The sequence below is a fragment of the Homo sapiens genome, chromosome 7 (assembly GCF_000001405.40).
Source record: "Homo sapiens chromosome 7, GRCh38.p14 Primary Assembly".
Classification (NCBI taxonomy): domain Eukaryota; kingdom Metazoa; phylum Chordata; class Mammalia; order Primates; family Hominidae; genus Homo; species Homo sapiens.
In genome coordinates this window covers 29,862,212-29,874,521 of record NC_000007.14, presented here as the reverse complement: position 1 = coordinate 29,874,521, position 12,310 = coordinate 29,862,212, and the positions used below count along the sequence as shown (strand labels likewise).

Here is a 12,310-nt window from a genome sequence, read left to right as displayed (position 1 = left end):
ACCACTTCAGAGGCCTTTTCTGACCCCAAATCTAAATAAGGCCATTCACTGTTTTCTCTGAGGGTACCATATTCCTTTTTCCTCTGTCACATTTATCATAGGGTATAAGTTTATATTATCATTGTGGAAAATTTCCATTTGTGATTATGAGTTGAATGTTCATTAACCCCAAGGACTCCACATCAGGAAAAAATATTCTGTCTGTTTTGTTCACAAAAATATCCCCGAAGAGTAGAATTGGATCTGGCTCAATAACTACTGTATGAACGAATGAATAAATGACTTGAGTGAGTGAGTGAATGAATGAACTAGACCCAGGGTATCAGAGCTGTCTTTGCTCTTAAGGGCATACGCATGCACCAAGCAGAGAGGCATACACTATAGCGAGTTAAGCCACTGTGCAATGCACAGCACAGGACTGGGCAGCCATGCTGGTTCCCCAGAGAGGAAGGCCACCAAGAGGCCAGAAATGACCATGTTTTTCAGGCTGAGCAGGCTTCAAGGAAGACATGAGACCTTAGAGGATCCCTGGAGTATAAATAGTATTTATCAATCCTTGCTATTGCCATTTTCTGTTTAAAAAAGGACAAACCAGGTTGGCTGACTAGAAACTCATGGGCTCTCTGGTGTCACAGACTAGAAGCAGAGGCAGTTGCGGTTTTGGCTAAAATGTGTTGAGTCCACATTTTCACTGGCAGACTCCACTGTGTGGGTTATGAACCTTATGCAGGTTTTGAAGGGCATAGGCTTCAAAGTCTGATTCTTGCTGCCTGGAAACAAGCTTTTGAACCCCTGAGAGGGACTTATGAATGATGGTCAACAAGAAAGTGGAGAGCAAGGAGCCTCAATCCTGATTCACTGGAGATATTATGTATGTATTTATTTATTTATTTTAGAAAGGCAGGGCATTTCCCATACAATATGCTTTTAAAAACCCCATATAAACCATTAATATCATGAGTTCATTTTAAGCTGCAAAATTTTAAGATTTTTAAAGTTTCCTCTCATTTTATTTATAAATAATGAATGACAGAAATAAGGGACCAAAGAAATATCACAACTGTAGCTAAGAGGGTATGAAAATTTTTGTGTGAATTTGGCATTACAACTTCAGGTATGCATTATGGTCAGGGAATTTGGGGAAAAAAGCGTGCTTTGTAATTTTCCTTCTAGTATAAGAAGATAACCCACTGAATTATAATAATATTCACAGCCCAACTCAGAGGAGCCTTAGGGAAGGCAAGGGTGAGAATGGTGCATTCTTTTCTTTAAAAAAGCAACTGGAATGATGAGAAAACCCCATCCCTCACTAGCCCTTGGGGATTGGAGGGGAGGGTCATCTCATCCAATTTAGACTGTTTATTACCAAAAGGTATCCCCCACTCCTTGACCTCGCCCAGGCCAGGCATTTCAGGTGAGGGCTGTGAAGAACGTTGCATGTCCTTAAAATGATGATTTTAACTTTGGACATGCCTCAATAAGTTCTTGACAATTCCACAGGGCAGATTTGTTAGTAAACATCTTCCAAGTCAGCAGGAGGACATGGCAAGTCACAGTGTGTTTACTTACACGGTGCAGTTCAACCTTGTGGGCTAAATTTAACATTCCCTCTCTGACTTCTCAGCTGTCTTCTGCTCCAGTGTCGGCCCTGATGAGCGCCCCGATGATCTCCCGCTAGAGGTCTCTCTCACCGGATCTTTTTTTTTTTTTTTTTTTTTTTTTTGAGATGGAGTCTCACTCTGTCGCCCAGGTTGGAGTGCAGTGGCGGCGCGATCTCGGCTCACTGCAAGCTCCGCTTCCCGGGTTCACGCCATTCTCCTGCCTCAGCCTCCCGAGTTGCTGGGACTACAGGCGCCCGCCACCACGCCCGGCTAATTTTTTGTATTTTTTTTAGTAGAGACGGGGTTTTACGGTGTTAGCCAGGATGGTCTCGATCTCCTGACCTTGTGATCCGCCCGCCTCGGCCTCCCAAAGTGCTGGGATTACAGGCGTAAGCCACTGTGCCCGGCCTCACCTGATCTTAATATAGTGTTCGCCAATCCTCTCCTCTCCTGTGCGGCAGGAAGGAATTAACAATTTTGTGGCAAAAGCGACCATATACAGTATATTTAGACTTAATTGGTTTTGCACAAAAGGACATATCCATTTGCACACTGAAGGCCACTTTACACAAAACCAGTCATTTCTCCACTTCATCTGCAATATTTATTAACAATTCAACCATAATTTGCTGTCTTAAAAAACCTCCTGCCACCTCAAGAATTCTTGTTACTGTGGTTACAGGATGCAGAAACAGGAAAGAAAGGATTTTCAAATATTCACTGAACGTTTCATGTTGTGCAATCCTGATCATGGGCAACGTCACTAAAAAGACAGTCAAGGGAGAGAAAGCCATTCCTGGACACTTTTCCCACGGCAAAACTATGCACCAAAAACTAAAAACACACAGACAAAACAAAACAAAAAAGAAGCCAACAAAACATTACTTCCAAGTTCACTCTTGTTTTGTCTCATTAACATGGTGCTTGAGTAGTGACAATTTGTTGGGTTTCACATAAAGCTTTTGTTGACTCAGTTCTACAGCAAGCTTCAAAAAAGACAGCCCAGAATCCCCAAAAGATGAACCATCGTAGAATAGACGTTCACCTTAGCTCATCCCCTTGGTTATAAAGGATGCAGACCTGAAGTGTGCCTGTGAGATTAGAAATACAAAAATTGAACAACAGTCTTAACAAAGTCAAGGATAGAATAAAAAAAATACGGAGGGGCCTTTTCTCTCACCTGGATACATTATAAAAGCTTTCGCATGTCCATTTGTCATTCCAACAAATGAGTCAACTGCCTTACAGCATAGGCTGGGGAAGGGAGATGACAGTCCAGCCCAGATCAAAACTTTGACATACACATCTCCTGCTATTTGGCACCCTGTCACCATATGCCATCCTCACCTTTCCAATACTCGTAATTGTGAAAAATACTAATAAAAACCTTAGCTGGTTGATTCTAATCTAGCGGGTCATTTCTCTCAACAAGGGTCCAAACCCTATCGTTTTAATACAATTTCAGCCTTGCGGTCTCCTAAAAGTAGCTTCTCCAATGTGGCCATTGAACCGAAAATTAGTGCACAGGTTTCCAGGCATACAAGCCTGCTGATCACCCCAGCCCTCAGCCTACCCCTGTCTCCTAAAACTTGGGGGCAGACAGGCGTCAGCAGCCAGGGTGTTTGCAGTTCATTACCAAGTCTGAATCCCAAGGACAGCCAGAATGGCAATGTCTCCCTTCTACTGTTGCCATCTTTATGTAGGAGAACACAGAGAACCTGGAATCCAAAAGAGAGACATGAAATATTTGCTTAAAAAACTAACTTTCTCCTGTCAGGTCTGACACAGTGTTCCCTGCACCCCATATGTGCATAAGTCAAGTTGTTCTAGAATGAGGTACATTGAGATCTAACAGTTCCAAGTCTCATTTTTAGAAACCCAAATATCCAATTCCAATCCATGCTCAAAAAGAATGCACCTGCTAACCTTCTTTTCTAAAGCCTGATTCTTTTTTTTTTTTTTTGGAGATGGGGTGTCACTCTGTTGCCCAGGCTGGAGTGCAGTGGCATGATCTTGGCTCACTGCCACCTCCCTCTCCTGGGTTCAAGCAATTCTTCTGCCTCAGCCTCTGGAGTAGCTGGGATTACAGGTGCACACCACCACGCCCAGCTAATTTTTGTATTGTTAGTGGAGATGGGGTTTCGCCATGTTGGCCAAGGTCTGATATCTTAAACAGTACAGTGTACAGAACTGTGACTGTTACCTGGAGCACAGAGCTGATTCACCCTGTGCCCCTTTGCTTCCCTGGAGGTAAAGCAAAATGAGGGGGTCTTTTTTTGGGGCTATGAGTCTGGTCCTGTTCTTTACACCCATAAAACAAGCATACCCATCAAGGTTATCTCATCCACTTTCATAACTTGGTTACTATCTGCAGCTGTCACATCTTTGCTTAGGGATGTAAAGGTCACCTCATACTCATCCCTTTTCCTTATTCTTAACAGCCAATCCATTGCAAACTCCTGTTGTTTTTCCTGATTTCTCAGAAATCTGTCACCTCTTCTCCATCGCTGCCATGATGCCTTAAGCAGGCATTCATCACCTCTGGATTCCCTTATGTGGTTTTCATGTCTCCTTGCCCTCCCCCACACAACAGACAGAGTAATCTTTATAAAAGATGTATCATTAATTGTGTCATTCTTTGCTGCATCCATTTGAATTGAATCCTGAGGATTCAAATCCCCTCACGATGCATAAGGCCCTTAGTGACCAGCCCAGACTTTCCACTCCTTGAGCCTTCCATGCTGGTGCTCACCTCAAGACCTTGGCTTGAGCTGATCTCTGCTCTTTTTACACTTGCCTCTTGGCTGTCTCCCAAGAGGCCTCTTGATCCTGGAAGTCCAGATGAAGATCCCTATCTGTGTTCCTAGAGCAACATGCTTACCCTTAGCAGAGCATCTACTACCCAGATCATGTTATTCCACTCAAAATCTGCAATGACTTTCCATCTCACCCAGTGGAAGAAAATCAGAGGCCTCATTAGTATTGCCTGCTGAGCTTGCCCAGATTTCCACGGGGTACCATGAGTTTATGTATAAATGCCAGCTTTTTCCTACCCAAACCAGTGTTATCAAGCAGTTCTACTGTGTGCCAATCCCTTCCTAACTACAAACTGCACATCTGGCAATATATTGTAGTACTAATTTTTAGCAACAATGAGAATTTCGATTCCAGTATTAATTCTAAGTCTCTTTAGTAGGGAATAATCAGAAAAATATAAGAATAAATGTTAGGGATGGGAAGAATAGAAAGAAATATGGAGAAAGAGAGATTTGGGACATGTGTAAATTGGGCAGATACAGATGGATTTCAGAGGCAGGGATTAGAGACTCAACTACCCCATAACTAGCAATTCAAAAGGACATTAAACATATAAATGGTGGATCAGACACTAGACAAAAGCATGTCTTTAAATGCACATGATGGTTACTTTAACTGGTAAAAGTAGTTCACAGAAACTTCTGGAAAGAAGGGGCTTGAAAAGATGGTAAATAGAAATCAGTAAAGCGAACCCCTTGAATAGTAATATAACCCAATATTATTTAAGATTTGAGTGCTAACTCTGTGCTAGGCATGGTGTTAAGAGTGGGGATACAGGTGGGGCGCAGTGGCTCACGCCTGTAATCCCAGCACTTTGGGAGGCCAAGGTGGGCGGATCACCTGAGGTTGGGAGTTCGAGACCAGCCTGACCAACATGGAGAAACCCCGTCTCTACTAAAAATACAAAATTAGCCAGGTGTGTGGCACATGCCTGTAATCCCAGCTACTTGGGAGGCTGAGGCAGGAGAATCTCTTGAACCCGGGAGGCAGAGGTTGCAGTGAGCCAAAATTGCGCCATTGCACTCTAGTCTGGGCAACACGAGTGAAACTCCATCTCAAAAAATGAAAAAAAAAAAAGAGTGGGGATGAAGTATGGGTAAGATTGCCAGGATGTTGTGCTTGGGGGGTGTATGTACATGTGTGTGCGTGTGTGCACATTCTCTGCATAATGATGTATCAGTCAGTAATGCACCACACATACGACGGTGGTCCTATAACAGTATAATACCATATTGTTATTGTACCTTTCCTATGTTTAGATATGGTTAGATACACAAATACTTACCACTGCGTTACAGTTGCCTACAGGATTCACTGAGTACAGTAACATGCCATACAGGTTTGTAGCCTAGAGCAACAGGCCATACCACATAACCTAGGTGTGCAGTAGGCTCTACCATCCAGGTTTGTGTGAGTGCACTCTAGGATGTTCACATGATGACAAAATCACCTAACAATGTAGACGCTTCAGAACATATACCCTTTGTTAATCGATGCATCACTGTATATATGTGTGTATATACACACATATATGTACATATATTTAATATATTTGTGTATGTGTGTGTATATATATATATATATACTTCTCATTATTTATACTCTAGACCCAGAGCCTCCTAGCTGGTCTCCAAAATTGGACTCTCATCTCTCTTTGAGACAGCCTTCAAATGATCGTTTTTAAAGTGCTAATTAACTCCTCTTCTCAAAATGCTTCAATGGCCCACTAATCTCTACCGAATCAAGGAATTCAGCCATACTGTCCCAAGATATCTTTCCTTGGCCAGTTGGAGCCTCATTTCAGCTGCTCTGGGTTTATCCCCTGTCTCTTCTTTCCCACTTCCAAGCCTGTGCTCAGCCCACCTCCTCTTCTGGGGATGCCCCACACCCCACTCTGCCATATCTGCCAAACCTTTCATCTCCCCGTGAAGCTCTTGACACCAAATACAGTTTACTTTAGAAAATGTATTTTTTCCACTTTCTCAACTAAACTTTTCCTTGTGTGATCTGCTTTTCCGCTGCCAAGGCACATCGTTTTTAATTCTCTACAGCACTGCTCATATCTTGCCCAGTATTATAGCTTCTACATATTGGTCTTGCTTCTTATTTTTGAGCACAAAAACTAAGCCACTCCACTTTCTCTTACCAGTGAATCCAGCTTAAAAAAACTGTGAGCAACCTATCAGTATTTTGTTGACATGAACTCTATAGAAACCTTAGTCCCTGGATCTTCGACTCTGCCTCCCCTGACATTTATCTGCTCCCACAAAGCACGCAGGTGTGGGAAGAGAAGTGGCTGTTTTTTGAGGTCACATTTCAGCCCTGATTCATCCTAATGTCTTCACCCTTTTTATCCTTTGGCCACTGTGTCCCTAGAGATGTGAATTCAATTCCGCACCATTCTCTCCTTTACAATGATGCCAATATTCTCAGGCTTTTAAGACTAAATTTTAAATTACGAGAAAATTTGATCTTCAAACTTAAGTTGGACCTAGAAAGAACAATCTCATGAACTCAAAAAAAAAAAAAAAAAAAAGCTGGGGTGTGGAGGGGGCGGGGGCAGAGCCAGGAGTCAAGGGCATGGCACCAGGAATAACTAATAAATAATACCTAGTTAGAACAGTGTGAGGTTTCATATCTTCTATTTCTTCTAGACAAAAAGTACTATCAAAAAGAAACATGCCCCCGCCTGGCAGATTAATTTGCAAACTAATGAAATAACATTACCGTTGTTATTTCCAACTCACAGTGCTGCTGGCCCTCAGTCTCTGTTAAGGGCTTCTCCCCATTCATCCAGGCTCGAAACCTCAAAGGTCCCTATGGCTCCTTGCTCTCTTTCTCATTTGAAATAACCAGTCTTTTACAGAGTCCCGGCTCCTTCTCTCTACTTAGAGTGCACACAGCGGTGACTTTGGCGTTTGGGTAAAGGAATTAACAAGACGGCTGCAACATGCAATGGGTGACAATGACAATACCAATAATAAAAAGAAATGGGAAGGCATTTGTATGTGCCAGGCACTGTCCCAACTGCTTTGCATGTATTAATTCATTTCAAAGGCCCTGAACAATTCTATAATGTAGGTGCTAGTTATGAGTATTATGTCCAGTCTACAGATGAGGCACAAGGGTGAAGCAGACCATCCACTGCTACCAAGTACAGAGCTGAGCAGTGAGTACAGGCAAGTTTGGCTTTCTTCATCACAACACAGCCTCTTATACCCAGGAAATACAAGACAGGCCTGAAGCTGGGAGAGCGGAGAGGTCCCACTGCTCTCTGGCTTGAGGCCAGGCTAGATGTTGCCTCACAAGCAGTGTGAGAGCCAGAGCAGGAAGGAGTGGGCAGGAAAGGGGCATCAGAGAAGGAAAAGGGAGGGTGGGTAGAAACAGACAGTGAGTGGAGCGCCGAAGAAGGCTGGGGCCAAAGGAGCTAAGTGCTAGGCTTTTGCCAGAGCCAGAAAGGACAGCCAAGGCTGAATGACAGGCTCTGAGAAGAGCCTGATGAGTGCATTAAATGCCAGCAGCCACCTTGGCAGGGGGACTGAAAGCACTTAAAATGGAAAGTGCACAGAGTAACCCTATGCTGTGTGGCTGATACCCTCAACTGTAAATAAGCTGTACCTGAAACTCCCTTGTCAGGTAACAGAGAACCTCTTATGGAGCAGCCCTGCTGGTCCACCTCTCTCTTGTGAGTGTTGGGCCTCTTCTCTCCTTGCTTGTCTCCCTATTGGCTGCAGGGCAAAATGCAGGGTCTTTGGCATTTGGCCTCCCTTTGTTGGCTCTAAAATAATAGTGGTTATGAACATTGCTCACATATGAAAGGAGACAAAGGTAATGAAAATAACTAAGCAAGGGAAAATTCCAAAATTTCTAGAAAGTTCAAGATGTTTCCACAGTATTGTCTGTTATACATGATAATGTAAGTGAATCTAGACTTCCTTTTTTTTTGAGACAGAGTCTTGCTCTGTCGCGCAGGCTGGAGTGCAGTGGCGCGACTTTGGTTTACCGCAACCTCCACCTCGCAGGTTCAAGCGATTCTCCTGCCTCAGCCTCCCAAGTAGCTGGGATTACAGGCATGTGCCATCACGCCCGGCTAATTTTTGTATTTTTAGTAGAGACAGGGTTTCACCATGTTGGCCAGGCTGGTCTTGAACTCCTGACCTCAGATGATCCACCTGCCTCGGCCTCCCAAAGTGCTAGGATTACAGACGTGAGCCACCATGCCCAGCCTAGACTTCCTTGTCTTACAGTCAGTTTCTAGGACCTTTGCATGAAAAGTCCAACAGACGCCTCTGGGTCCAGACTTGGATTGAATCCTAGAGAAACAATGACTCACAGCTAGCCCAAGGACAGTCCTGAAATGGTTGCATTGCTGGATCTAATGGAATTCTCTTCCATTCCAGAACCTTCTTCCAAATCTCTCTGGATTGGGCCCCTAGGTCACCAGACCAGGCTGCTGAGCATATGTGTTCTATAACTGTGTCATCCCTCGGCCTCACTCCAGTTCTAGGCCCTGTCAATGAAGAGTAGAGGCCTTTCCTTCCCTGTCTGCACCCAACAAGTCCTTCTTTGGTTTGCAGTGATCCTCCATACCCCTAGTGTCTCTGTGGTTCATGTTTTCAACATTCTTGGCTCTTCTCTGAGCCACTTCTTCCTGCTAGTTGGGCTGCCAAAAGCGTATTTACCCACTCGTTATTAAGAAGGCAGTGTGGTATAGTGGAAAGAGCTGAGTTCAGGGGTCAGTTCTTCAATTTACTATTCTGTTCTGGCTGTCTGCATTTCAGAAAGCATCTGGGTCCAGTCTGCCAGTGGCCAAGTGTGCTTGGTGGAGTAAGTCACCCCTAAAGACACCCAAGACAGCCCCTCTTTGCAGTTAAAAATGAGGGCTCCAGAGTCCCATCACCTCGGTTGGGATTCTGGGTCCACCATTTATTGGTGGCAAAACTTAGCCAGGTTACTTGACTTTTGAAGCCTCAATTTCCTCATCCATAAAATTTGGAAGAGAGTAATAACTACCACATAAGTTGTAGTGCAGATTAAAGGAGGCAATCCCTACAATGAGCTTAAAACAGGGCTTGGCACCTGGTAATTACTCAATAAATGTTAGCTATTAATATCAGTTCCCCCTAATAATTTTCAGCAGACTCCACCTTTTCCTGTTTTAAAGCTTGCATTCCCTGGAATAAAGCCAGAGATCCAATAAAAAGAAATCCCTGGAAGACAGCTGTGTAGCAGGCCTAGAAAATAGCCAGTTCAAATTAGAAAAGAATGGAACACATTCTGAGCAAGAGAACGTCTAAGAAGCTGGGCGATGCTGGGCCTCAAGGGAAGAAAGAATATGGCTCCCTTTCCTCAACCACTACTAAAAATAGAGAATCTGAAATGTGGGAAAAAGAGAAAATTGTCCAAGAAAGACATTGATTCTGAGTAACTTAATAAGAGTAAGAAAGGAGTTATCATATCTTACCCTATTAAAGCGTTGAGAGTATTTCGGTCACAAAGAGAGAGAAATGCAATCATACAATCCTATTTGTTTCCATACAGACAGTATTTGTACTTCATAACCCTAAAAGTATTGTCTTTCAGAGATTTTCAACTTTTAGAGACATTTGTAGAGACAAAGCAGGAAACACTTAATACGATTACACAACTGAACGCAAACGTTATCCTTAGCTATGAAGAACTGACAGAGTCCAGCAATATGTAGAAATAATAATAAACTACCACTAAGTGGGGTTTATTCTGAGAATACAATATAATAAAATCTGGTTCAAAATCAATCAATAAAATCCACCATATTAATAGTCTAAAAAAGAAAAATCACATGATCACATCAATTGATACAGAAAAAGCATCTGACAAAATTCAACATCCATTCATGATAAAAACTCTCAGCAAACTAGGAATAAAAGGGTACTTCAACAACCTGATTTAAAAAAATAAACAAAACTATAGCTGACAATACACTTAGTGGTAAAACATTTTCTCCCAAGATCAGGAACAAAGCAGGGACATTCACTCTCACCACTCTCACTGACCATCATAATGGAAATTCTAGCAAGTACAATAACATAAGACAAATAAATAAATGGCATAACAGATTGGGAAGGAGGAAATAAAAATTGTACCTCTTCTCAGACAACATGATTTTCTATGTAGAAAACTCATAGAACTGATAAGTCAATTTAGTCAGGTCATAAGATACCAGGTCAGTACACAAAACTATATACTGTACCAGCAAAAAACTGGAAATCAAAAATTTAAAAATACCTTAAAATATGCTCCAAGTACAAAGGAAATACTTACGTATAAATCTAACAAAACACGCACAGCATATGGATTCTTAAAATCAAAAAATGCTAATGAAAGAAAGTAGACCTAAATAAATGAAGAGATATGCTATGTTCATGAACTGGATAACTCAACATAGGAAAGATGTCAGTTCTTCCCAGGTTGATCTGTAAATTCAATGCAATTCCAATCAAAATCCCAGTAAGATTTGAAAATAGATATAGACATGCTAACTCTAAAATTTATATGGAAAGGCAAAGGAACTAGAATCATCAAAATGATTTTGCAAAAGAAGAGTAAAGTTGGATAACTCACATTACCTGATTTTAGGACTTCCTGTAAACTACAGTAATCAAGATGGTATGGTCTGGTTATGATAGAGAAATAGAGATTTATGTTCATATGAAAACTTATGTATGAATGTTTAGATCAGCCTTATTCATAATTGCTCAAAACTGAAAACAACCAAAATGTACTTCAGGAGGTGAATAGATTAATAAGCTGAGGACTACTACCCAGCAATGGAATAATAATGATAATAAAGGAAGAGCAGTGGCTGCCATGGATTATGGGTGGAAGGAAGGTGTGATTACAAATGGGTGGCACGATGGAGTTTTTAGGGGTGATGGAATTGCACTGTGTCCTGATGGTGGTGGTAGTTACATAAATCTATGCATGTGTTGCAATTTACAAAGTTGTTACCCTCCCCTGCAAAAGTCAGTCTTACTATATGTTAATTTCAAAATAAATAAATAAAAACAAACAAAATAAAAAATACAGTTGAGAAAAATTGGGACATGGAAGATAGAAAAGAGATGTAGCAAAAGGGAGAGGCACCACAACCTCATTTCACAAAACAGAGGGTGAAAGAATGCTGTCAAAAGCTGACCAAAAGCAACAGAGGCTTCAGTGTATTATTTAAAGTTACAAAGGTAACCACAAAAGGAAGTAAAAATAGTGCCATAAGGATAAAAAAAATAAGGAGGAAGGTGGGGAAGAAGAGAAGAGGGATGATTCAAGGAAGCTAAATCCTCATCACTCATAGTAGCAAGTCAACAGATGATGTCTCAGTGTGATAAATAAAGAAATAACAGTGTTGGCATATTATTTAGAGATTGCAACTTAAACTCAACACACTGCAATAAGCTTATTATCTCTCTTACACCCTGGCCAAAACAGTGAGCCCCATTAACGGACACAAACTACGCTTGCAATGTTGCTCCTTTCACTGCCGACTCTTTGCACAGCTCATTTTTTAACCATGGACACATAAAAATTTGATATGCCCACTGGGCCACTTGCTCAGTTCTAATTTCTTTTCATTTTCAGGACAGAGATGATAATATATCCCCAGGCCAACAAATGACCAGGCCTTTCCCAGCCCAAGTGACCATCCTTGCCGACTATCCCATGTCTTACTGACCTTTTATCATTTCCTGGCCCTACAGTATCTTTTATCATATGAGAAAGTTTAGACATCCGGAAACAACCAAGTCTGACATTTTCCCTAGGAAAAAGAAGGAGCATCTCCCCCAGCCTCATCTTGAACTCAAGCTGAGTTGTCTAATGGTCTAGTTTGTGTGTGTGTGAGGCCTTCACAGAAT

At 42.0% G+C, this 12,310-nt stretch overlaps 1 protein-coding gene across 3 annotated transcripts in view; it reads right to left on the bottom strand.

The window, feature by feature from the left end:
* The window catches only part of WIPF3 (WAS/WASL interacting protein family member 3), a 110,554-nt gene that overhangs the window by 42,540 nt on the left and 55,704 nt on the right, over positions 1-12,310 (bottom strand). Inside the window, exon 1 of one of the 3 annotated variants that reach the window (XM_017012522.2) lies at positions 3,238-3,517. The exons of the other annotated variants lie outside the window; for them this stretch is intronic. Coding sequence (XP_016868011.1) covers positions 3,238-3,294 — 57 coding nt within the window. The 5' untranslated portion in view covers positions 3,295-3,517. Of the gene's footprint in view, positions 1-3,237; positions 3,518-12,310 lie in introns of those variants that run through there. 3 annotated transcript variants of the gene reach the window in all.